Source organism: Homo sapiens, chromosome X (genome assembly GCF_000001405.40).
Source record: "Homo sapiens chromosome X, GRCh38.p14 Primary Assembly".
NCBI classification, from domain to species: Eukaryota; Metazoa; Chordata; class Mammalia; order Primates; family Hominidae; genus Homo; species Homo sapiens.
Window position 1 is genome coordinate 43683352 of NC_000023.11, and position 27539 is coordinate 43710890.

The 27539-nt window shown below is 38.5% G+C and overlaps 1 protein-coding gene across 2 annotated transcripts in view; it reads left to right on the forward strand.

Moving 5' to 3' along the window:
* The window catches only part of MAOA (monoamine oxidase A), a 91812-nt gene that overhangs the window by 28346 nt on the left and 35927 nt on the right, over nt 1–27539 (forward strand). For both annotated transcript variants that reach the window (NM_001270458.2, NM_000240.4), the window contains 2 exons: nt 162–256; nt 9940–10077. Coding sequence is in view for 1 of the 2 variants with exons in the window: in NM_000240.4 (NP_000231.1) it covers nt 162–256; nt 9940–10077 (233 nt within the window). In the remaining variant the exon portion in view is untranslated. The remainder of the gene's footprint in view (nt 1–161; nt 257–9939; nt 10078–27539) is intronic.

Sequence of the window (27539 nt, forward strand, 5' to 3'; positions counted from 1 at the left end):
TGGTGGCTCACTTAATCACAGTGTGGTCAGAATTTATTAGAAAGACAGCAAAATCATTGGATTGTATATGATACCCTGCATTTATTTGATGTGTAGACCTGGTTAAATCTTGGATTTTAAGCATTTGAATGTTACGTTGCTCTTTTTTGTTTTTCCTTTAGGACTATCTGCTGCCAAACTCTTGACTGAATATGGCGTTAGTGTTTTGGTTTTAGAAGCTCGGGACAGGGTTGGAGGAAGAACATATACTATAAGGGTAAGTGATTTTAATACTTACATGTAATGTAATATCTCACTCAAACTACAAGTGGCACCACTGGAAATCACAGGGCTAGAGGAGGTCTTAAGAGTTCATGCAGTTAAGCCGTTTGTCCTCCATAGCCCTAAAGTACTCCCATCAAATAAGCGTCCATTCTCTTTAACATGTACGCACTGAAGACTGACAGCTTCTGAATTTCAGTGGAGTGAATTCAAAAAACATGAGCAAATAACTTCAATACAGTGTCATAATTTCCATACTAGAGACGTAAATGAAGTGTGTAGTGTCTCAGATGGGGTGATAGTTTGGCTGTACTGGAAGTGACTATACACCCGCAATACACACAGACACACACACACACACACACACACTTAGATTCCCTATTTATCCAATGACACACAACTTAATAGAAATGTGGTGGCAAAAACCCAAAAAACCAAAAACAGACAAAAAAAGAAATGTGGTGGCTGCAGTAAGCAGGAACAAATGTAGCATATTTTTGCATAACTTTTCCCTTGGCCCTTGTTCCCTAAGAAGTATGCTTCTGCCAGAGATACTCCTCAGGTCGCGTCTGGCTACATGTAAGAAGGAAGCCCAGTTCTTGCTACATCGCTGCTTTTTTTATACTTCGGCTTACATCACCATTCTGGAAAAAATGCATGCTATTATTTACTACTATTAAGGGAATGGTTGCAGGTGGTTGACTCTGTGGGTACTGATGAAAGTAGGCAGGGAGATAATGAAGAGTGGGAAGGAAATAGGGGCAAAGATGGAAGTTTTTGCACATAAAAGTGGGGGAGAAAGGGAGAAGAGTCAGAGAGAAGTAGTAGAGGCAGAAGAGGAGGACCAGACTAGACCAGCAATGGGTAAGTCAGTGGACGAAAGAGGAAGGGGTGCTCAACAGTCAACTGACACAATATGAAGGCAAACAAAACAAAACAAAACAAAACAAAACAAAACAAAAACCCTCGCATTTGACAGAAGTTCATTAATTAATGAGCCCCTTTGCTAGAGTACACAAATAGAGTGTTAAAGACTAGGGATTGAGAGTAAAGACAAAACTAGACTGTTGAAGTGACTGGAAAGAAAGGAAGCATCTATCTAACTAGAAGATGCTTCAGTTAGACTAATAACAGAATGGCGTAAGCAATGCAAACATTTGATTATTTCACAGAAGTCTGGTGGCAGATAGTCCAGGCTGGTGCTCTTGCTTTTTGCTCTTCTTTCTGCTCTGATATTCTTTCTTTTCTTTTCTTTTCTTTTCTTTTTTTTTTTTTTTTTTTTGAGACGGTGTTTTGCTCTTGTCGCCCAGGCTAGAGTGCAATGGTGCGATCTTGGCTCACTGCAACCTCTGTCTCCCAGGTTCAAGTGATTCTCCTGTCTCAGTCTCCAGAGTAGCTAGGATTACAGGCACCCCCCCCACCACGCCAGCCAATTTTGTATTTTTAGTAGAGACAGGGTTCCACCATGTTGGCCAGGCTTGTTGCGAACTCCTGACCTCAGGTGATCCACTGGCCTTGAAGCCTCCCAAAGTGCTGGGATAACAGGCATGAGCCACCGCACCCAGCCCTGCTCTGATATTCTTTGCATGTAGGTTTATTGTCTTGTGGTAACAAGATGGATGCTGAGATTCTAAGCATCAAGTTCTCATTCAAGGCTGAAAGGAGAGTGAAAGGGTGGCACTAGCCTTGTCTGCAACTAAGCTTTTCCTTCGCCAAAAGACCCCAGCAGACATTTGCTTTAGTCTCATTGGCTAGAGTTGAGTCACATGGCTACCCTCAGCTGTCAGGGATCCTGGGAAAGTAAGTATTTCACAATACTAGGCTACATAATGGAAGCAGGCATGGGAGAGGAAATATCAATGGATACTAGAATAACCTACAGACAACATTTGAATTAGGATTTCATAGCAGCGATTTCAGCCACATTGTACCATGCTACCCTTCTGTCATTTGCTTCCTACCTTTTTAGATACAGGGATGTATCTAGGCCTATTTCTGCTTTGCTCAGCTCTAAGGGTGCTGTACAGCCTTGCTATGCAAAGTGTCATCTGTGGGTCAGTAGCCCCAGAATCAACTGGGATTTTGATAGAAATGCAGAATATCAGGCCCTATCTCAGAACTGCTGAATCTGGATCTGCATTTTGACAACATCTCCAGGGGACACTATAGAAGTGCTACTCTGTGGCATTTGTTTGCTTGCTTGCCTTAAACTAATGCCAATCCGGATTAAATTTTCTGAGTGCTCCCTTAGATGTAGTCCACTGGGAAGCTATTGGTCTGGGAGTGAGGAGACTGGGATTCTAGCCTCTGTACTGACTTGACATGATGTCTTGGATAAGTCCTATTAGCACTTTACATCTCAGTTTTCTCATCTGAGTAATAAGATACTATCTAAATGTCCTCGAAGAAACTCCCTTCCATCTTCAAATTCTAATTGAAGGCAGCGTGTTATAGTGCAAATGAAGAGCTGCATCTTCTGCCTGTATGCCTTTATTAGATATGATTCTTCTGTCATTTTCTGAAAAATATTCCTCCACTTTGGAGATAGTTATTAAGTTGTCCCTTAGCTCTATTTTTCTTATCTCTAAAACCTTTTGGTTATTAAACAGGAGCATTAGTCATGTTGCGGATTTTCAGTTAAGAACAAGTTTCTTTGTATAAGGGAAATGAGAATTCCAACATACTTGTCCCCATCTGTGTTATTGGCCCCAATTACTTTGCCATGCTGTGTCATTTATATATGTCAGCACCACACAGGAACTGTTATTGTCTATTCAGCATGACATTACACCCCCCTTAGGAATGTGAGAAAGGAATCTCTGAAATGCTTGGAAATTAGGACTTAGCATTTATACTCCAAATGATGAGAAGGAGAGAAAGAGGGCTTTAAGAAACAGGCATGGAGGCCGGGCATGGTGGCTCACGCCTGTAATCCCAGCACTTTGGGAGGCCAAGGCAGGTGGATCACTTGAGCTTGGGAGTTTGAGAACAGCCTGGGAAACATGGTGAAACCCCATCTCTACTAAAAATACAAAAAGTAGCCAGGTGCAGTGGTGTACACCTGTAGTCACAGCTACTTGGGAGGCTGAGGTAGGAGAATCACTTGAGCCTGAAAGGCAGGGGTTGCGGTGAGCCGAGATTGCACCATTGCACTCCAGTCTGGGTGACAGGAGTGAAACCCTGACTCAAAAAATTAAAAATTTTAAAAAAGGAAACAGGCATGAAAATTGTATTTAATAAGAAACTGAAGCAAATATTTTTTAAATTGCTTCTAATAACATAATCAATTAGGATAATTTTGGGAGGAGATGCCATAAAAGCTACTATGGATCTCTGAGTACCAGAATGTCAAATTTGGTATTACCTGGCAAGCTGTTCAGATGCGTCTTCCATTAGTTCAGAACTTGCCCGTTTTTCCTAATGTGATTCATCCATGATTCTTCAGAGTCAAATTAATAAAGTTGAAATGCCTGCAGGGCTGCCACAGGGTTGGTGTATGTTTCCAATATTGTTGCATGTTTGTGGCCTCTTCAAAGGCTGAGTAGTGAGATCTAAATCAAGACCCCAAAGACTGAGGTGCAACACAGTAGAATACAGTGTTACCGCTTCTAGTGTCTTCATGCTGAATTTGAGGCACTTCATTTAGAACGTTCTTACTTTGTAAAGGAACATTCTGCAAAATGCCTCACTCTTTTTACTGCTTCATTTAGGATTATTTGCTTTAAAGATAGTGTCAGCATTCTAAAGACATCATGTTTGGAAACTCCCAGGAGTCCCCTTGCTGTCTTTGTTAAAGCCCAGAAATTTATTGGAGTACTAATTCCAGTTTTGTTCATTATATCTTAAAATAGTTGTTGTAGATTAGAAAAGGTTTGAAGGACAGCACTGATGGTTACTAAAAGAGAGAATAAACATTATATGAGGGCACATTAAAGAAGTCACAGAAGCACTTCATTTCTGGTATTATGGCAGAATGGAAACCCTAACTCCTCATTGAAATAAGTAAAATGCTGAATACAATATGCTGTGCTCATCTGACATGGAAGTTAGAAATTTGTAGATCTCCTGGATGTTGCATAGACATCTCAAACGTAACACATCCAACACTAGACTTCTGATCTTCCTTAAGGCCGCTGTTCCAGCTGCCCATGTTAGAAGATGGCAACTTCGAAAAAACTCAGAGTCATGCTCAACACTACCAGACCCTCATTTGTTTTGTCAGGAAATTCCGTTGGCCCTGCCTTCAAAACATATCCAGAATTCAACGCTTCCCACCACTTCCACTGCTATCCCCTGGTGGGAGCCACCATTATATCTCTAGGCCAGATTACTAGAGTAGGCTCCTGATTTTCCTGCTTTTACTCCTGCCGCCTACATTCTGTTCTTTCTTAGTGCATCAGTGAGAGTGAGCCTTTCAAATGTAACTCAGATTTTAGCATTTCCCTGCTCAAGACCTTCCAACGGCTCCCCTTCTCACTGACAGCCAAGGCCTATGTCCTTACAATGTCCTGTGAGGCTTTACGTGACCTGCTCTGCCAATAACCTCTGTAACCTCATCTTCAATTTTTTTCCTTGCTCACATTGTTCCGGCCACTTTGGCCTCCTTGCTATTTCTTGAATATACCAGCAGACTTCTGTATTACAGTCTTTAGATCCATGTTGCTAGGAGTTTTTGCTTTTTTTTTCGAGACGGAGTCTCACTCTGTTGCCCAGGCTGGAGTGCAGTGGGACGATCTCACCTCACTGCAGCCACTGTCTCCTGGGTTCCAGCAATTCTCCCGCCTCAGCCTCCTGAGTAGCTGGGATTACAGGCTCACGCCACCATGCCCGGCTCATTTTTGTATTTTCAGTAGAGATAGGTTTTCACCACATTGGCCAGGCTGGTGTGTTTTAATTTCTACACCTGGAATGTTTTTCAGTTATTTTTCGTCATCACTGCATTGTGGTCAGAGAATATTGTTTCATGGTAACAATCCTTGAGGCTCGCTTTATAACCTAGCAAGCACATGGTTAATATCCAAAGATCTTCTAATTTCTGCTTGAAAAGAACATGTAGTCTCTAAAAGCTATATGCAGTGTTTTATATATGTCCACTAGAATAAGCTTAACTGTGCTCCTTCTTTTTTGTTTGCTTAATCTATTAATCACTTTTAAAAGTATGTTAAAAATTCTCTGTTCTACTGGGCACTTATCTTTGGTTCCTGTCAAATGTTGCTTACATTTTGAAGCTATATTACTCAGTTTATGCAAGTTTAAACTTGGTTAGCCTTCTGGATCTTTTAGCATTATGTAGTGACACTTATTTCACTGAGATTTATTTTGTTTAAGGTTTTCTTTGATATTAATATAGTTATAACAGCTTACATTAGTATTTGTATATCTCTTTATCTTTCAGTTAGAGTTTTCTTTATTCTGACTTTTTTTCCTTTTTTTAAATTTTAGATTCAGGGGGTACAGGATTTTTATTTATTTATTTATTTATTTTGAGACAGAGTCTCACTGTGTTGCCCAGGCTGGAGTGCAGTGGCGCAATCTCAGCTCGCTGCAACCTCCACCTCCTGGGTTCAAGCTGTTCTCCTGCCTCAGCCTCCCCAGTAGCTGGGATCACAGGCGCTGCCACCACACCCAACTAATTTTTGCATTTTTAGTGGAGTTAATTGACAAACTTGGTCCATCTATATTTGTTATGATTTCTTTTTTAAATGTTTTAACTTTATTATATTATGGCTTTCCATTTGTCCCACTTTAACAGTTTTCCTCTTGGTTTCTTTCTTTCCTTCTTTTGGGTTAATGGTTTTCTTCTTTTTGTTTTCTTTTTAAGTTTTTTCTTCTACTTGTTCAGAAGTTATATAGTCAGACCAATGTTTTTCAGACAATTTTCCTAACTATATTAACACTCATACTTAATGTAGTCTAAAGTTTATCAACATACTATCTTTCTACTAAAAAATACAAAAGCTTTCATGCTTCAGTTGTGAGCACCCTTCTTCCAATCTGTAAACTATAAAAGTATTTCAAGTTTGTATGTTTCTCAGACATTATTAATTTTATTTTATTCTATTGTTGATGTTGCTTAATTTTCTTTAAAGTTTTGCCAGTATCTTTGTTCACTGTCCATTCTTGAATCTCAGACCTTTTATTTGTAACCATTTTCATTCTACTTGAAACACACCCTTTCCTCCAATCTGGGTCCTAAACTCTGTACACTTGTCAGCTTGACAAAAACATAGTTCTAACAGGTAACAAATTCTACTTAGAATTTCTCTTCCTCTTTTTTTTTCTCTCAGAACAGCAAAGATATTATTCCCCTATCTTCTGGCTTGTATTTTTATTGTTGAAGAGTCACTCGTAAGTCTAATTGTTGATTTTTTTCAGAGTATGTATGATTTGCCTCTTTTGTTTTCTGAAAAAGAATTGCTTTTAGGAGCTCTTTTCTTTGGTATACTGCAGTTTCTCTGTGTCTGGGTGAGAATTTCTTTTTTATTTATCATTCTTTGGACCTGTTGGGTTTCTTATCTTCCAACAATGCTGGTAAATCCTCAGCCACTATTTTTTAATACTACTTAATATTTTGACACCATCTTCCATGTCTTAACTACCTCCTCAACATATTTTCCAATTCTTTATCTTTGAACTGCATTCTAGATAATTTATTCAGATCTAGCAGTTTACTCACTCTTTAACTATGTCAAATATATGGTTTAATCCATTCACGGAGTTTTAAAAATTTTAATTAGTACATTTTTATTGCTAGCAGTTATTTTTTAATCTACTTGATAATATTTTCAGTTTCTTTTCCCCTGCTCCTAGTTTTAATGACTTATTTTATTTAAAATATATTGCATAGTACTTTTAGATTCTGTGTATAATTCAACTATTATGAAATCTTTCTGGATTATTTTTTCTGCTTATTTTCTTTTGGTGCCTTGTTTGCATGTATGTTTTGTAACTTTTGGCTGTGGGTTGCTAATTTTCCATGGAACTTTATCTGTGTGTAAATTATTTGAGGCATAGGGGAAAAGGACTTAAGTCTACTTCTACCACCGTCCTTGACACTTTAAATTTTCTGCCCAAGTTTTTTCATATCATATGGATAGCTTAAATTCAGATGGAAAACATAAATAAAGATAAGCTTTTTTTTTCCTTTTCTTTGTGACAATACTTAGAGCTGCAAAATAATGGAAAATATAAAGTCGTGGATGCAGCTAAAGCAATACTTAGAAGATGTATAGTCTAAATTCTTCCATTAGAAAAGAAAAAGGCTATATATGAATAAGCTAATCATGCAAAGAGTTAGAAAATTAAGAGCAAAATAAATCCAAAGAAGGGGTAAAAAGGGAATAAATCAATGATGTAGAAAATAGACACCCAACAAAGAGGATCAATAAAATAAAAGTTGATTCTTTGAAGAGACCTATTAAAGATACACAAGAAGTGTCTGATAAGATTTTTCCAGAAAAAGAAACACCCCAAATAAATACGAGATCAGAGCCAGATGTGGGGCTCACGCCTGTAATCCCAACACTTTGGGAGGCTAAGGCAGGTGTATCGCTTGAGCTTAGGAGCTTGAGATCAGCCTGAGCAACCCTAACCCTACAAAAAATACAAAAATTAGCTGAGTGTGGTGGCACATGCCTGTGATCCCAGCTACTCAGGAAGCTGAGGTGGAAGAATTCATAGAGCCCAGGAAAGTCGAGGCTGCAGTGAGCCATGATCATGCCATTGTACTCCAGCCTGACTGATAGAGTAAGACCCTGTCTCAAAAAAAAAAAATAAAAATAAAAAAGATGAAAATGAAGATATAATTACTGATGCAATAAAGAATAATTAAATGAAAAGAAGATGCCATGAACATTAAACCAACAGTTTTGAAACATATATGAAATGTACATATTGTGAGAAAAATATAATTCATCAAAGTTAACAGTGATTTAGTCTGGAAATAGAAAAGATGGGTAGTGCTTTAACCTAAAAATAAATTAAATGTCTAGTTTAAGATTTTCCCTAAAAAAATCACCAAGCCTAGCTAGTTCTACAGGCATGTTCTATGTAATGTTCAAAGAATGGATCACTTTATTTACATACAAACCTTTCTAGAGAATAGAAAAAAGTATGATCACTAAGGAGATTAGCAGTACTGTAATGCAAAAAACAGACAAGGCAGTAGAAGAAAGGAGAATCATAGGCCAGTCTCAATATTGCTTATAAACATAGATATAAAAATTCTAAACAAAATGTTAGCAAAGCATATCCTCCAACAGAAAGATAATATCACGTTGGGTAGCTCCAGGAAGGAAATGTTGAATAATACTAGACAATTTTCTGGAAATAGCAGATTAGGTAAATTATAACAAAATACAAAGAGACTAGACAAGTTGCACTGTATAGACACACACACACACACACACACACACACACACACACACGCACGCACACATCTTTAAAGCATTAAAGAGCCAGCGAGCTAACAAGATAGTGAAGAATCACTGGGCCAACATCTGGAAAGGATTAACCTACTTTTCCCTGGGTGGCAGGGGGAGTTGCTGACCACTGAAGAAGCTCCCGAAGGCTGAGCAGTGCTTTGGACCTAGTGCAAAGCTAGGGTGACAGGTCAAGTCCAGAGCCCCATGAAGTGTGTACTGATTTCTGGGGGAGTGTTTGTCAACTCCTTGTGCTGTGGGTTGGGCTGCATCTAAGGACCAAGGGTAAATGGCAAGAAAACTAGGCCAAATGTGCATTTCGGCCCAGCTTCAAATCCTCTCAGGTACTGAAAATGGTATAAAGTTATCTGGTACTGTGAGAGTCCCAGGCTGTGGGCAGAAGCAAACATAAATCCTCTCTGAGAAAGATATCATCTTCCTAGGATTCAAATGATTTCTACATGTTTTCAAGTGCAATGAGTGGCATTCAACAAAAAATAATCAGGCAAACAAGGAAAAAATGCATGACAACATGCTTGAGAATTGGTATACACAACAAAATAGACACAGACCCTTTATTTATTAAAAAAAAAAAAACCACGGAAGGGTTGCAGCTCACCAATATTCAATTATTGATTAAATCATTGGAACTTTCCAATTAATAAAAACAGCTGAAAAGCATGGAGAACTGTATTTATGAGGGAGGAAGTAAACAATTTTAGTTTATGATAGAGGGTTTGCATATTTGTAAATAATTTAGTGATATGTGAATCTTTTTATACCTTCTTGTATTCTTTTCCTATGACGCATTCTTTCCTGGAAGTGTTTTAAAATAGCATCTAGAGCCATCAATGTGGACTGATTTAAGATTTCACCTGGTGGAAATTAGGGAATTAGGCTTTGGGTGGCTCCTCCAGCAATAACACCAGACAGAAGCTCACATAATAATTTAAATGTTTCATAAAGGATCTAAACTGGCAGAACATACTACAGTGTTCTTTATCTTTTATGCATTGTATTGCTGAATTGGCCTTACCAATAACTTTACCAAATGATGGTGCTTAGTGATGAGTGTTAGACAGGATTGTGCCCCAGTTCTTGAGTGGATGAGGAAAGATTGCCATTTTCAGTTGCTCTTTATAGGGGAGATGTAAGGCACAATTAACTTTTAAAAAAATAAATGGGGTTATTTTTTTACAAGACACCTTTTTTCCAAGTTTTAACTAAAGTCCTCTGACCAATTTTTCTCTTTTTGCAGAATGAGCATGTTGATTACGTAGATGTTGGTGGAGCTTATGTGGGACCAACCCAAAACAGAATCTTACGCTTGTCTAAGGAGCTGGGCATAGAGACTTACAAAGTGAATGTCAGTGAGCGTCTCGTTCAATATGTCAAGGTAAGGCTGACTTTTCACCCAAGTGACTGATAGGGAAGCATTTTATTTGAGAAAACATTTGGTTTGTTTTTAGTTATTTTTCTTTCAAAGCAATTGTAAAAGTAGGCTCTTGACTTTGAAGTAGTATTTGCCTTTCTTTTCTTGTTTTCTTTTTTCTTTTTCTTTTGAAAAAAATCTCTAAAGTCTCCTGGAATCACTGCAGGATATTATGACTCAGCTTGACCTTCCTCCCTGTCACCCTCAGTGGCCCTCACAAGCTATCCTCACTCCCAGAATGGGAGGCTCTGGGTTCCCTCCTAATGCATTTGAAGGCCACAGGGGTGGGGGTGGCAGGTGCCTGCAACAGACATGTACACACACACACACACACACACACGCACACTCCCCTCCCCCAGCTACAGGCAATCCCTGAGCAACCTAGGGAGCAACCCTAGAGCTCCAAGGAACACAAGAGTTTGAGGCCACTTCTTTAGCCTTTGAACTGGTTATTCATCCTCATTCTTACCTGGCATTATTTGGAATGCTTCATTTCCTCTGTACCTGGCCTTCACTCTTGGGAAGTCTAGCTTGTTTGTGCAGTTTCCTACTGTTTAAACAAGAGATTGTTTAAACTCTAGCCACTGATTTCCACAGCTGTTGCCAGTGTTTTTCTTTCTCACTGAAGCCAAACATGGAGTGGCTGGAGTCTGGAAACATGCCTTGAGAAATCAAAGTTCCCATCTGACATTGCAGCCTACTTCCTAGAGCTAGTGTCACTGAGGAAGGGGTCATTTACTCATTCTAATGTCAGGATTCCCACACCAATAACCACATCATTTCTCAACAAATACATCCCTTCCCCTACTCCACCTCGGGCAATAACTGTGGGTCCGGAGGCTACAGGGCTTTGGGTGTGTCCTGGGAGTTGAGGATACTTGTGACATATGTACACTGATAACCAATCAGGAGAGACCAGAAACCTTTGTAAACTCTGATAGCCACATGGTTTGAGATGCTTGGGATAGTCTGGTGGTGACAGATGTGAAAAAGCAAATCAGTAGTCTTTTTATTCTTTTCTTTTTACCTTTAAGCTCTGTTGGACTTGAAAATCAGTAGTCTTTAGAAAAACTGTGGGTTCAGAGGTCAAGGGAGGAATGAAGAAAGTATAAAAAATTTCACAAAGTATTTAGGAACTCTGGCTACAACAGGCTGTGATCAAAAAGGAAAAACCCCTTTGCTTCCTCATTTTCTCTTTTCTGCACTGCACAGTGTTTCCATGGACTAGTAAGTAATAACAACAGTGAGAATAATAGCTGCTAACATTTATTAAGCATTTTTACCTGTATTCTCACATTTAATATAGGGAGAGAGACCAAACCCTTTGCGCTCAACTACTAATTAAACAGTCATGTAAATTCACTCTCCACTCCAACTGGGAAGCAAATGAGTGTGATGATTATCTTGGAATCTGTGCAGATTCATGCTGATAAGATTCAGAGGCTGAGAGGTTTTTAGTTTACCTGGAGGCTAACAATAAACAACAACTAAAAGCTTTTTATGCATGAACTCATTAAATCCTTACATCCACCCTGCTAGGCAGGCATTATCATCCCCATTTTACGTTTGAGAAACCAGAAGTTCAAAGAGGTTAAAGTGACTTGACAAGGCTATAAAACTCCTAAAAGTCTACCTAACCCCTGAGTGCATGCTCTTCATTATCCCGATATATGGCCTAGAAAATGAAACTGAGGACTCTGAATGGAGATGTGCTGGACCTCCAATGTTTGTTTGTCCTCACACACATCTACAGTAAGGTATCTCACTGTCAATATCACTGAAGTCTGGGTCATATGATGAGGAGATTCAGTCATTGAAAGACCACTTTTTTTCCTACTTTCTTACTCTTCTTCCAGTTTCATGTTCCTTTTATGTACATTTTAAAAACTGGGAAAAACTGGAAAAAACTGGAAATTTACAAGTATGTCCTCAAGCTAGGTACCTGCTAGTCTCCCAGCCACGCCCAGTCTAAAACTTGATATTGGGCTGGGTGTGGTGGCTCACATCTGTAATCCCAGCCCTTTGGGAGGCCAAGGCGGGAGGATCATCTAAGACCAGGAGTTCTAGACCAGCCTGGGCAACATAGTGAGACCTCTTCTCTATGAAAAATTAAAAAATTAGCTGGGCATGGTGGTGCACATCCTGTAGTCCCAGCTATTTGGGAGGCTGAGGCAAGAGGATGGCTTGAGCCCAGGAGGTCGAGGTTACAGTGAGCCATGATCATGCCACTGCACTTCAGCTTGGGCAACAGAGCAATATCCTATCTCAAAAATAAAAATAAAAAATAATAAAAGTAAAACATGATGCTAAGGTGATAGTTTGAAAGTGGCACCCATAGGCAGCTTTTGTAAGTAATTTAGCTCCTCATTGTTCTTGATGGAGGCAAGGTGGAGTTAAAATGATAAAGTTCTGTTTGAGAATTTTGACTTTGCCTGAAAGTGATCAACAGATCGTGACATGCTATCCAAACTTCCTAACAGGACCTTACAAATTACATATCTTAAGTGTTAGACTTTCTGATGTCTCTGAAATTTTCTGGGCTTTACTGGGAACCCTGCTTTCTAGAAATCCAGATGTAATTGTTCTGTACTTTAAGAAGGTGGTCCTGCTGCAAGCTTTAATAGAGGATGAACTAATGGAAAGACTTAAGGAGATGATGCACGTTACATTAGGTGCCTAAGTAAGGAAATGTTAAGAGTAGCATCCAGGGTCCCTTTTTTGATTTTGTTGCTGCTGCTGAGTCCCGCTGTAAGGTTAGGTCCACACTACCCTGAAAGTCCTGTTCCTAAAGAAAAAACAACTTCAGCTTTCTGGAGGGGAGAACTGCTCAACTCTACCATATTTTTATTTCACAAAAATACAAATATGGCTGTGCTATTGCATAACCTACTGGACAAAGGCATCTTGCCATGGCATTGGACTTGGTAGCCCGAGGCTGCTTTCAGGAATGTAAGGCAGAAAATAAAATAAAAACAAAAAAAGAGGCTAGGCGCGGTGGCTCATGCCTGTAATCCCAGCACTTTGGGAGGCCGAGGCGGGCAGATCATGAGGTCAGGAGATCGAGACCATCCTGGCTAACACGGTGAAACTTCATCTCCACTAAAAATACAAAAAATTAGCCGGGCGTGCTGGCAGGTGCCTGTAGTCCCAGCTACCAGTTACTCAGAAGGCTGAGGCAGGACAATGGCGTGAACCTGGGAGGCGGAGTTTGCAGCGAGCCACGATTGCGCCACTGCACTCCAGCCTGGGTGACAGAGCGAGACTCCGTCTCAAAAAAAAAAAAAAAAGAAAAAGAATAAAAAACAACCAAACAAACAAGAATGCAAGGCATTGTTAACCTCTGGATCTTTGCCATTGCATGGCCATGCACATCAACACAATGGTAATATTAGACCATAATTATTGCATATGCAGCACGTGGCAGGTGTGTGCTAAAACACATACCGTGCCTACACTTTGGACAACAAATGGCACCTTTAAATCACAGCCGCTGTGGTTGATCCCTCAAGGTCAGTACCGCTCCCATAGTAATAATAATGACTACCTCCCCTACTGAGCTCCCATTATGTTCCAGGCCCTGTGCCAGGGCCTTCACCTCCATTATCTTACTTAACCCTCACATGGATCCTAAGTTAGGGGTTATTGCGCCATTTCACAGAAAGAGTCTGAAGTTCAGAGGCCCAGTAACCTGCCTAAGAGAGTAAGGGAATTCAGATTAAGGTCTTTTGACTTTATGCTGTCTCTTGCTAGTCCAGATTCTACTGTCAGGGACTGTGGACTCCAGGAAGCTGCCTTACAGTTTGTGCTTGTCCTGGCTCTTTCTGGCAGCTCTCTTCTGATGGTCATCCTGTGTCCATCATTGTGTCCCCATATGCAGTGCTGGTGACCATTTTGCTCAATCTTTTGACCCGGAAGCCTGAAAGAGCAGTGTTAACTACCTGCTATGATACAAGCACTGTGCCTTGGTTATTGTTTGATGGATGCAGTAACTGGAAAACAGCCATTTAACTGTCAGAAAATAAAGATTGAAGCTCTATTTTGAATTTTAGTACTTATTTTCAAATAGCTACACATTTAAGATGGTAAGCATCATTCTTTTCATTGAATACTTAATCTCATCGAATGAAAAGATGAAAAATAGAAATATATATCATTAAACCATCCTCTCACATACTTTAACCTTTCAGAGAATACATATTTTCAACCAAGGTAGACAACAATGTTAAGGCAAAAAAGTAGTGGGTTGGTTAAAGTTTAGTTTATTTGATCTGAATGAGTGCCTTTTTGCTAGTGTTTTCCAATACATCATATCATTTCTGGAATGAGAAGTACTCATTGTAGTAGATGTTTTTATGATTATCAGGAAACTATATTAGGGAAAAGCAGGAAGATATTTAGTTCAATATTCCAGATAAGATGATTAATAAATTGTATACTAAAAGTAACTCTACTTATTTTAAAATATCTTAACTCTCACTGTTTTTCTCCACTTCTAGGGGAAAAGTGGGTGTTTCCCCAATGTGATAGTGTATTGGGTTAATAATACAAATTGTATTTGTGACATTTTCTGCATTGCTTTTTGACAACTTCAGCTTTCATAATCTAATACAGTCAATATTCGTTTTTGTAAATAACACTGAAGTGAAAAGGAAGATTGCCATTTTCTAGATAAACCAATCAATAATCTTTGTGGCCCAGATTGCTTCAGCTCTTAAATTTTCCCAATGCGAAACCTTAAAGAATGTTTAAATTGTTTAAACACTGTCAACAGTCTGTGGCACATCTAGTCCCAGCTTACTCTAGGATGGTTTTTACTATTCACCAAGGAACTACTCGTTACCTTTGTTAGATTGTGTTTACAGTGCAAGTTTTAGCAAGACAGTGTATAGTTCCAAGCCTGAGCCTCTCAGATGGATACTGAGGATACACCTTAGTGGTGTTTCCTCTACCTGATCCCTTCCTTTTCTGAGACTATGCCTATCTACTACGTTCATAGAGGATTCACATCGATATGCTAAATTCACTCATTGCTTAATATTTATATTTATGTATTTGATAAATATATAAGTATTTACAGAGCAAAATCTACTCTGTACCAGATATTGTTCCAAGCTGCAGATAGAGTGGTGAACAAATGATCAAAATTTCTGCCCTCATGGTCCTTCTAATCTAAAGAGAGAAGACAAGTAAACAAGAACAGTAAATAAATATTAGCTAACATTTTTGCCTGTATCCTTCATGGATCTTGTGAATAGAATCCCTCTTCTAATTCTGGTTTAGAAGATCCTGATTCTTATATAATAGGTTCCTGACTGGTTTCTACAGTGAGCAGCTTTTATGAATTTTGTGAATTTGACATGCTTTTATTGGGGAGATTATATCTGATCTGTGAAATTAACATAAATTAATCATATCATTGTGAACCTTAAAGGTAGATTCTTAAATGGCATCAGCTAGATATTTTTACACTTGATCTTAGCCAAAAAGCCAAGAAGCAGTAGCTAGATATGTTTAAAACATTCTCTTTATCGGTTGCACATGGTGGCTCATGCCTGTAATCCCAGCACTTTGAGAGGCTGAGGCAGGAGGATTGCTTGAGCCCAGGAGTTTGAAACTAGCCCGGGCAACATAGTGAGGCCCCCATTGCTACACAAAAATTTAAAATATAATTTTAAAAATAAATAAAATAAAACATTCTCTTTATCAGTTCTTCTCTTCTGCATGGCATAAAGGAAGCAGCTGGACCTGAATGCCAAGTGGATTGATTCATTACTTGCATTAGTAAATAAGATGCTCCATCATTATGAGTGTGTTTCATTGAGTTGTGGAGATCTTTTGTTAAATTTTGCAATGCTGTGTCTTGCAGAAAAAATGAAAATGTTGGATTCCATTTTTTTTTTTTTTTGCTTTCCATGAGTTTCCTGCACATCATAATGCAGGTAGGGTGAGGGGTATGGAGAGGGAGAACCCAGCCAGAAATGGAGCAAGGCATTTTGCAGAGGCTACTTCAAAGGAGAAATTGACAATTACATGCATTCTCACGTTCTTCCTGCTTTTCACGTCCTCTCTAAATAAAAGTAGAGACTATAAATATATACCACCCATTTGTTTTTAGAGAGTGGTGTGATAAAGATTTATTTAAAACAACATAGGCTTTGCTGACAGTAACAGCTCAGCAAGAATTTTTTTTTTTCTTTTTGTATTGGTTCTATTCTTCCCACAGCCCTTTACTCCAGGTTTCTATGCCAACGACTGAAATCAAAGGCTTTTCACAATGTGTATGTTCTGGAATACTAAGTAAATTTTGTTGTTGCTAAGAGGGAAACTTGGTTTTAGCCAGCAGGCCATGTAGAAAGCAGAGTTTGTCTTAATGCTTACCAGATATAACCCCTCACTTCTAATAGAATTTGACCCATGGCTTATAATAGAATTTCTTTTGGATATGCGACATTTCATTTTAAGTTTCTTTTAGTACCTTGTCCATACTAACTCACAGAAGATATTTCTTTTATCTTCAAAGAAAGATACATTTTCACTTTCAACCTCTCTCAGAAGGAAACTCAAGAAGCGGAAAGTGTGAAGTCTTTGTAGGGATGTTGCTTGTTGTATATTTGCCTCCTTTCTTTTAAACACCTAAATTCATCCCTCCTGATGCCATGCTATTAATATTGCCTTCCACCTGTAATGTACCTATACATGTTTTACCTCACTTGAGCTTCCCAATGGTCCTCAGAGTAAAAAGCATTATTTTTCCCAACTCAGAGAGCGTAGGAGCCAAAGTGTGGCTTTCCAGCTCTAAGCCCAGTGTTCTGTGGGTTACATCACCTTGTTTTTTATTCCAAAGTTAACTTGTGAACCCTTCTAGTAAACTGCTCCAAGATATGACAAAATCACTTTATCCCAACAGGCTCTGAAGTTGTAAGATGCCCCTTTGGAAACAGGGACTCCTGTGGATATGGGGGTGGTCGTTCATGGGAGCTGTATGTGACACAGTTTATATTTCACAGTTCACAGTTCATAGTTCACAGTGGTTGTACATGGGAGCTGTATGTGGCACGGTGGCTTCTCTTCTCTTGCACCCTGAGCTGTAGTCTGAGAGGTCCTCTGGCCTTCAGTGAGCACCTGGCAGCTAAACAGCCCCCAGTGTGTCCCAGTTAGGCTCAGCAGGCTGAAGACCACAGATGTATTCTATTATTTTGTTAAAATACTAAATCTGGAGGTCTAAGGCATGGTTTGAAATTGCTGGCTATATATTATTTTTGTTAAATGATCCATGTAAACTTATTATTCAAAGTATGGCCCAAGTATTGGCCAGTATTTTATGTTATACCATTATATCCTGCCTGATTTTAAAAATAACAAAAAAGGAAAGGATTTAAAGTGGTTCTTGATAAGTATTACAAATTTGGATAAGTCAGGGTAGAAGATAGAAAAACAAAACAAAACAAAAACACCAGTTAGGTAAGGATAGGCAAGTAGTTACAGGCCTGTGCTCATGATAAGAAATTCTGTTTTGATGATAGAAATGAGGTAATACAGAAGGGATTGCTTTCTTCTCTCAATCACAATTCTGAGTAGGTTTTAAAAGCAGAGAGGCTAAAAATGTTTACATATTTTCAGTTTGATCTATCCAGTATCCAGTATAAGGATATATGAAGATAGCTGGTAAAAAATAGTTTTTAGTAACTTTCATTCTTTTTTCCCCCTCACTTTGGAAAGACTTCATTTGCTGCTTGTGAGTTCCCAGAGAGCTTAATGGCAGAATTCCTCTTAAAGCTTTGCACTGTTTAGAGAGCTAGGTCAGCATTAGCCATCTCCTCTCAGAGGCTCCTTCTTCCTATAAACTCTCAGGATTACATCTCAGATTTGGTTTCAAAAATATAAAGTTCCTACTCAGTGACAACCCAATATATAGCAAAATAAGTTAATTATTAGATTTTTTTCTTAAAAAATGGTAAAGTACACTAACATAAAATTTATCATCTTCACCAATTTTAGGTGTACAGTTAATTCAGTAGCATTAAGTACATCCACATTGTTGTGCCACTGTCGCCACCATCCATCCAACAGAACCCCTCTCATCTTCCTTCCATTCATTTCTAATAGGGACTAATTCACTACAGGAATTGTTTCTAACCATTCATTGAGAAGTAACCTAGCATCACCCTCCCACTGGCAGCACAGAAAGGGGGTTAAGTCAGACACAAAGGATTTCTCTCACACTCAGGCTGAGGGACTTTGTGATCACACATAATCATGTAGTGCCTCAGTATTTGGGTTAATGGCCAAAAGAACTTTGTGAATGGAATTAAACATTATATGAGCAGCTTCCTCAAGAGAAATTGCTCTAGTCTCCATAATAACTGAACTCCTGGAGGTTCTGACCTTTCAGGTTAAAATGTAGTTGCCTCTCAGAGGTTAAAATCTCCTCCTTCTTCCTTGCTTTCTACTTCCTTCCTATTTCTTCTCAGCAACCCCTGTCCTCACCTCAGTGGCATGCACATTACTCCAATCAAAAGACTCAATCATTGATCTTTAATTTTCAAACTTTTGCAAAGTAGCCTTCTAACAGTTGAAATCTTAAACAGCCTCTAACGTCCAATGAATCCCATATCTAGTCCATTCTGGGCACTTCCTGAAGAAGGGAAATTCAGTTGTCTCATGATCACATGTTGAGCCAGCTAGAAAACCTTTTCTGTCATTGCCTCATCCTGCTGCCTAATAGGATCGATGCTGCCATGTAACCCTCTGTATCACGTGCAGACTCAAACCTTTTTCATTTCTATGTCAAATTCAATGAACAGATACCTTTTGAAAACCTGCTGGGCCACAGAGTTTTAGTAAGTGACAGTTATTCCTACTTTAGAGATAAGAGAAAGTTATAATAATGAGAGTGGTTCAAGGTCCTACAGAAGTGAGAGAGAAAGAGGGACAGGCATAAAAGCCTAGTTAATTACTAACCTTTGCAAACACAGAGCTTCAAACTGAAAAGAGACAAATAATGATAATAATGTCAATACCTGATATTTGACAGTCCAGTACTATTTTCATAACACTTCATTTTAGTTTTTGCTTTGTGTTTGGGTTTTATGTAACCAGAAGAAGAAAATTCTTGATGGAATCACAGAAAACTTGAGAGTTAATTATAGTTCAGTGTAGTGAATGCTTTGATCCTGAAGGCTGTGAAACTGAATCGTTTTCATTCAGAAAATTTCTCATGTCAGGTTTTTCAAACAAAAAGAATGATTAGTAAACTATTCTATTACCTTTCATTCCCATAGCTCTCCTGTAATTTGTAAGACTCAAATGATACACACTGAACCTTGGGCTGAGATTTAATTTTGTATATTTGCCAAAGTACACAGTAGCCTAGTTTCCATAGCCATATCTAGCAGATAAATGTCTCTGAAAAAAAAAATCAGGCTTCAGAGACAATGGGAGGAAATCACTGTGGCTCACACTTGCGGACCAGCAGTGGGTGACAAAAGTGGACCCTGGGACACAGACATGGGTGCAGTCACTAATTGACATAATTATTTGAGCATCCACCAGTCGAGTAGTCCTGAGTATCTGTGACTTTTCCTAATCTGTAGATTAAAAAAAAAATACTATTCTGATGTTTAAATGCTGGGAAGATGGTGCTAAGAGTATAATGGCTCTTAGTTCATCCACCCTTTCATTCCATGCCATCACCCTATCTCTGCCATCATGGTTATAAAGCCATCACTGAAGTAACTTCATCTAGTAGTAGGGGGCAGGGCCACATCCTCCCAGACACTGTGATACACAAGGTGGATGCACTCACTTAACAGCTTAGCTGACAAGAAGTTCTGCTTTGCCCTTTGCCCCTCTCTACCTGCTCTTATGTACTTTCTCACTGCACTGTCTTGTTACGAGGAGGACGGGCTAAGGGCAGAAACTCAGCATGAAGCCCATGATGCACTTGCAATTTTAGCTAGATATACAAGCAATTTCCTTCCTTTCTCCTCGTTGTTGTGGAATGATGTGCCCTTTTGTCCAGAAGGGATACAAATGACATTGTATTCCCATGTGTAACATTTGGAAAATAAACATTCTGGTTGTCACAGCTTCTATTTCATCGCATATTTTCCTGTGTTATGTCATACTTCTGCCAGTGCAAGCCAGAATGTGAAGAATGCCTAGGGGAATATTTCTCAAGTGTTTTCTAAGCAACATTAATCTTAAAAATACTTTGCAAAAACAGGGCATTTGGTGGTCAGATAAACTTTGGAAGTGCTCCATATCCTATCCCTGTCTTTGATAGTCAAGATGCCCATTAACAAATTAGGAGTCCTAGGAAGCCTGGCAATAAAAAAAGACTATTGAACACAAACCAGGATTTCCCAGACTTATGACCATGGAAACTATTTTCATATAACACCTATAAAGATCAGAGTAAGAGATGCTATCACAGGAAGTGTTTTTAGAGATTTAGGTTCACAAATTACCAAAACTACTCGGGAATAAATAGAAAATTGAATAGACCTATAATAAGGAAAGAGATTGAATTAGTAATTTAAAATCTCCCACAGAAACAAACCCAGACACAAATGGCTTTACTGGTAAATTTTACCAAAAGTTTAAAGAAGAATTAATACCAATTCTTTATAAACTCTTCCAAAAAAATACAAGAGGAGGAAAGATTTCTCAATTCATCCTATGAGGCCAGTATTATCCCGAATAACAAAACCAAAGACATCACAAGAAAACTACAAACCAATATCCCTATATAGAGATGCAAAAATCTTCAAGAAAATACTAGCAAACTGAATCTAGCAATATATTAAAAGGTTTATACACCATGACTAAGTAGGATTTATTCCAGGAATGAAAGGTTAGTTTAATATACAAAAATCCAATAATGTAATGCACCACCATATTAATAGGATGAAGGACCAATAGCACGTGATCATCTCAATAGACGGAGCAGAAACATTTGACAAAATTCAACATCCTTTTATGATAAAACCACTAGAAAAACTAAGAATAGAGGAGAACTTCCTCAACCTAATAAAGGCCATCTACAAAAAACCCACAGCTACCATAATACTCAATGGTAAAAGATTGAAAGCTTTCCTTCTAAAATCAGGAGCAAGACAAAGATATTTACTCTGGCCACTTGTATTTAACATTGTACTAGGGATTTTAGCCAGGGCACTTAGGCAAGAAATAAAAAAAAAAAGAAAAATTGTATTTGCAGATGATGTGATCTTGTATATAGAAAATCCTGATACTGACTAAAACAATTCATAGAACTGTTAAACAAGTTCATCGAGGTTGCAGGATACAAGATCAATATTCAAAAATAAATTTTATTTCTAATACAGTAGCAATGAACAATCTGAAATGAAATTAAGAAAACAACTTCACTTAAAATAGCATCAAAAAACAATAAAATACTTAGCAATAAATTTAACCAAAGAAGTGCAAGACTTATATACCTAAAGCTACAAAATAACATTGAAATAAATTAAAGATGTAAATAAATGGAGGCATCCTGTGTTCATGGACTTAATATTGTTAGGGTGACAATACTTCCCAAATTGAACTACGTTTTTAACACAATCCCTTTCAAGATCCTAGCTGACAGTTTTTGCAGAAATTGGGAGATTGATCCTAAAATGTATATGTAAATGTGAGAGACCCATAATAGCCAAAGCAGTTTTAAAAGAGAAGAACAAATTTGAAGGACCCACACTTCCTGATTTCAAAAATTACTATGAAGCTAGTGTGCTAAAACAATGTGTACTTGTATAAAAACAATGTGTACTTCTATAAGGATAAACATATAGGTAAATGGAGTAGAACTGTGATTTCAGAAATAAACCCTTACATTTATGCCCAATTGATTTTTGTCAAGGGTAGCAAGACAACTCAGTGCAAAAAGTAAAATAAGTTATTTCAACAAATGTTGTTGGAACGACTGGATATCCACATGCAAAAGAATGAAGCTGGACTTCTTCTCACACTATACACAAACATTAACTCATTTTAGACCTAACTATAAGAGCTAAAAATATAAAACTCCTGGAAGAAAAAATAATAAATCTCTGTGAGTTAGGCAGTGATTTATTTGATGATACTGAAAGCACAAGCAACAGAAGAAAAAATAGATAAATTGGTCTTCATCAAAAAAAGTTTTTGAAGTGTTGTCATTTGTATACCATCAAGAAACTGAAAAGACAATCCATAGAATGGGAGAAAATATTTGCAAATCATATATCTGATAAAGGACTTGTATTCCGAACATATAAAGAACTCTAACAACTCAATAATAAAAAGACAAACAACCCAATTCAAAAATGGACAAAGGACTTGAATAGATACTTTGCCAAAAAAAAGATATGCACATGATCAATAAGCATCTGAAAAGATGATCAATGTTATTAGTTATTAGGGAAATGCAAGTCAAAACCACAATGAGATATCCCTTCACACCCAACAGGATGGCTGTAATAAAAAAGGCAGACATTAATAAGTGTTGTGCAGGATGGGGCGACATTGGAAACCTCACCCATTGCTGGTAGAAATGTAAAATGGTGCAGCCACTTTGGAAAATAGTTTGGCAGTTCTTCAAAATGCAGTGTCAGAGAAAGAAGAGTGACTACTAATAATTAAGGGCTTCTTCTCAGGGTAAAGAAAATGTTCTAAAATGAGATGTGATGATGGTTGCATGCTCTGTGAATATACCAAAGACCATTGAATTGTACACTATAAATGGATGAATTATAGGATATGTGAATGATATGTTAATAAAGCTGTTAAATAGCTATTTGTCCTCACAATGTGATATTTTCATCTTTTTTCACACTTCCTGTTTCTCCTGAGTTAATGGCATCTGTGAAAGAGGAAAACTATTTTTTTAAAAAACTCTGTCAATTATCTTTAATTACACAAAAGCCGCCAGAAGAACTCATTATTGTTTCTATCTTAACTGTTTTGTTTGTAATTTCTGTATATAACTAGAATCCCTTGGAGAAGATGACATAAATTTCTTTTAAAACCCTTCACTGTTGGGGCCAGGCACAGTGGGTCATGCCTGTAATCCCAGCAGTTTGGGAGGCCAAGACAGGAGGATCACTTGAGCCCAGGAGTTCAAGACCAGCCTGAGCAATAAAGTGAGGCCCCATCTCTACAACATAAATAAATAAATAAATAAATAAATAAAAATACAAAAATTAGCCATGCATAGTGGCACACACCTATAGTCCCAGCTTACTTGGGAGGCTGAGGCTGGAGAATCACTTAAACCTGAGAGTTTGAGACTGCAGTGAGCTGTGATCACAACACTACACTCCAGCCTGGGTGACAGAGAAAGATCCTGTCAAAAAAAACAAATAAAACCCTTCATTATTGATGGTATGGCATCATTTATATCTGAGTTTAATGGTTCTATTTTTCCAGAGATAGGACTACACAATTCAGGCGCCCATTGCATTGGTAGCTGTACAAGTCTTGAGACAGAGGCTGAGAATATGAAGTGTCAGGTCATAAGCAAACACATAGGAATGTGCTGCCAGCCCTTGAAATGGTGTGAGAGGTTATAGATAATTTGGTATTCATAAACATGGAGCAGAGGCATGAAAAATGTAAACCATAAGACTGTGCCAATATAATAACAAATTTGAGGGTGGATGAGTTCCCCAGGGAAATGGGAAAGGGGTGGGCAGAAGGAAAGGAAAAGGCTAAGGATCAGACTCTGGGGGATTCAGTGGATCATAGAAGGAGGGGTCTTGGGGAACTAGGCTGAGGCTTGGGACAACTAGCACTATCTGATGGGGTGGTGTCAGATGCAGCCAAGTGCTAATGGGATGGATACATCCCTTCATATCTGGCTAAAAGGAGCTCATTGGTGACCATAGAGAAAAGGGCATCCACGGACTTTTGAGGATACAAGTCAGATTTTAGAAAACAGAAGGATATGAAGGCAATGGGGGCATCATTTGAGTGGGACTGTTAAAAGAATGCAAAGAGGATGACAAATGAAAAGGACAGACGTCTCCATGTAGGGTATGAAGGCTTTTTCTAGATAGAGTGAAGCTATGTATGTTTGAAGAGAGCTTGGATACCTGCATTTGGAAAGAGGAAGATAATGCTTTTGTAAACTATTAATACAACACAAAACTACCATCCTATTTAATGGGTCTCTTCTTAGATGATTTTAAAATTTAAAGCATTGTTATAAACTATAGAAAAGAAATCATCAAAAGATTCATCTTACAGGCTTTGTCACAAAACAATGGGACTAGAAGGGTCTCAAGGTATTCATATAAGCTGTACAGGCATGTTTCTAAATTAATCTGGAAGATAACTCTTTTATTTTCCAGATGATTAAAGAAGGCTATTTGGCAGCTTCCCCAGTGACTTATGATACTCTAATAACACTCACTTCCTTTTGCTTAACTCAAATATAAAAGTACAGAGAGATCAAACTCTCCAACGTGCCAATCAGGAAATGCTATTTTGCTTACTATAAACTTAGCTTATCTTATAGGACCAACAATAAAGAATTATGTGGGAGCCATAAACTGCCATCTCCTGGCAATAGTCTCCTGTTATTGTGAACATTAGTAGATTGAAGATGTAGTTTCTCAAAGTCACTTAAGTGTTTTGGGGCACGGTTCCAGGGACATTGCGTTCTGCTTGACATAAACAATTTCTGCTGTATCAAAGACACTGCCCTTTAGAGATTAAAGGCCACTTTGGAAAACTAGTAAGCTTTCAGAGTGTAGGTACAAAATGAACTTGACCATTACACTAGATTTTTCTCCTTTAATTTTAAAGAGCAGTAATCATTTGGAAGTATTCCCAGAGCCCCTGCTTCACCCTCTTAGGTCATGAAGGCATTCCTTACTGAGAAGTGGCTTAGTATTGAGAAACTGCTGACACCTTGGTGAGAATACTATAGAACCACATTTTGGAGACTGAGAGGGTCCACACTGTCAGGCAGTTCTCACTCAGCCAAAAGACATCTTCCAGGCCCCCCTACTGCACTACTTTAGGGATTCACACATGCAAAAGTGTTCCCCACATATGTGCATTTCTTTTTAGCAGGTTTGGGTTTTCTGTGAAACGAGAACAGAGAAGCCAGAAACTGATAGGGGTGAAACTAATTGATGAAATCCTTTATCAACAGCAAAGAAGTTTATGTTATGGGCCTTTATGGTCTTCTTGTTGTTTTTTTTTTTTTTTCTTTTGAGACAGTCTCGCACTGTCGCCCAGGCTGGAGTGTAGTGGCACGATATCGGCTCACTGCAGCCTCCGCCTCCAGGGTTCAAGCAATTCTCCTGCCTCAGCCTCTCGAGTAGCTGAGATTACAGGTGCCTGCCACCATGCCCGGCTGATTTTTTGTATTTTTAGTAGAGACGGGTTTTTTTGTTTGTTTGTGTGTTTGAGACAGAGTCGTGCTCTGTCGCTCAGGCTGGAGTGCAGTGACGTGATCTCGGCTCACTGCAACCTCTGCCTCCTGGGTTCAAGTGATTCTCCTGCCCCAGCCTCCCAAGTAGTTGGGATTACAGGCACCCATCACCACGCCCTGCTAATTTTCGTATTTTTTTAAGTAGAGACAGGGTTTTGCCATGTTGGTCAGGCTCGTCTCAAACTCCTGACCTCAGGTGATCTGCCTGTCTCAGCCTCTCAAAGTGCTGGGATTACAGGTGTGAGCCACCGCCTCTTCTTTTAAAATATTCCGTGGCTCCCATTTCTAAAATGATTGCCAGGCCAGATTTTCCTCTTTCCTTGAACTCTTTACTTCTCCTGCCACCACTGTTTATCAAGGCTCAGATCAAGGGGTCTTTGGACCTTGTGTGAAATCATACTCAAGTTGGCATCTTTCTGTGAAGAACTTCGTTAGGAATGTGGGACACATTTTGTTGAGTTATATTTATAATTCTTTTCTTTATGTTCCCAGACTATTGAGAATATTTATTTATTTATTTATTTAAGACAGAGTCTCGCTCTGTTGCCCAGGCTGGAGTGCAGTGGTGCAATCTCGGCTCACTGCAACCTCCGCCTCCTGGGTTCAAGCAATTCTCCTGCCTCAGCCTCCCGGGCAATATTTATGTTTTTTAATAAAATTTTTTTCCAAAGCAAAGATCAGTTTTGCATTAGACTATTCCTTGACTATACGTACATTTTATGGAGGAAAATGTAGATTTTTCCAGATTTCAGTTAAAGGAGGAATTATAACAAGGACCAGCTGCTCTGAGGCTGCCCCTGAGCTATTACTTAACCTCAGCCCCTCTCTTCTCCATAGCTATTTTTGTTTTCTATGTAAAATGTCTTTGCCCATTTCTCTCAGAGTATGTATTAGCATTTTCCAAAGCTGTTTATGTTCCCTCAGTGGTCGTCTTCCACCCCTGAAGCTTCTTAAGTCTCTATTTTTACTCCTTAGAAACAGAAAAGGTACATGTGGAAGATTTCTAAGTTTCACATTTCAAAGTTCTCTTTCTTTTGGGAAAGAAAAAGTTGGAAGTTTAAAAATGCCTCTAGAACAAACCTATCTCCACATTCCATCAACTGTATAGGAGGCAGGAAAGCATGTTTTATGAGCAAAGGCTTTGGGAGCAGGAAATTTCCATTCTATGATGTACTAGCTACTGCCGCTGGGCTTTAGTTTCCTTATTTATAAAATGGAAATATCAATAGCGCTTGCCTTCACAGGGTTGGAGTGAGCATTGCACGAGATAATGCATATGAAGGGCTTTAGCCAGTGTCAGGCATAGAGAAGGATCTCAATAAATGTTAGTGATGATGGTGGTGATGATGATAAAGGATTTGGAGTCTCAAAAAGTTGTATTGCAGCGTTACAACATAACATTTTCAGATAAGAAACGAGATCACATATTCTGCCAAGGTTATTTGAATTTGCTATGTGGAAGGGAAAATTACTTCTCTGTCACTTAATGGCTGCCATATATTCTTACTCAGTTAGGAGGTGTGCTTACACGTGTTTGTGATGTCTTGTGTCCTTGCCCTGATGGTCAGAAGTTTTGTTTTAGCCCTTTAAAAAATCCAATACAGCTTTCAGTATTCTGCAGTGCATGCAGTAGACTTTCTACAAGTAAATGTTTTAATTAAAAAAATCAAATTATCATGCAAATTATACTGGTAGAAAAGATTTTGGCCTTATGAACATTTACAAGGCATTGATTTTTAAAGTAAAATAAATTAGCAAATAAGGCCTTATAAACTACCTATTTCTGGTCTATTTCCTAGGGACTCACCTCTACTCACCATTGCTTCTCTTAGCACTTTGGCTGTTACACAATGAAATGAAGTTAATGGTTTCTAATAATGAATGAGCCATCTTCATATTAGAGGTCTTGGTACCAAGCAATAGAAACCAACTCAGGCTAACAAGAGGGAATGTACTGAAAGGAAATGAGAGGACCTACAGAACTGAT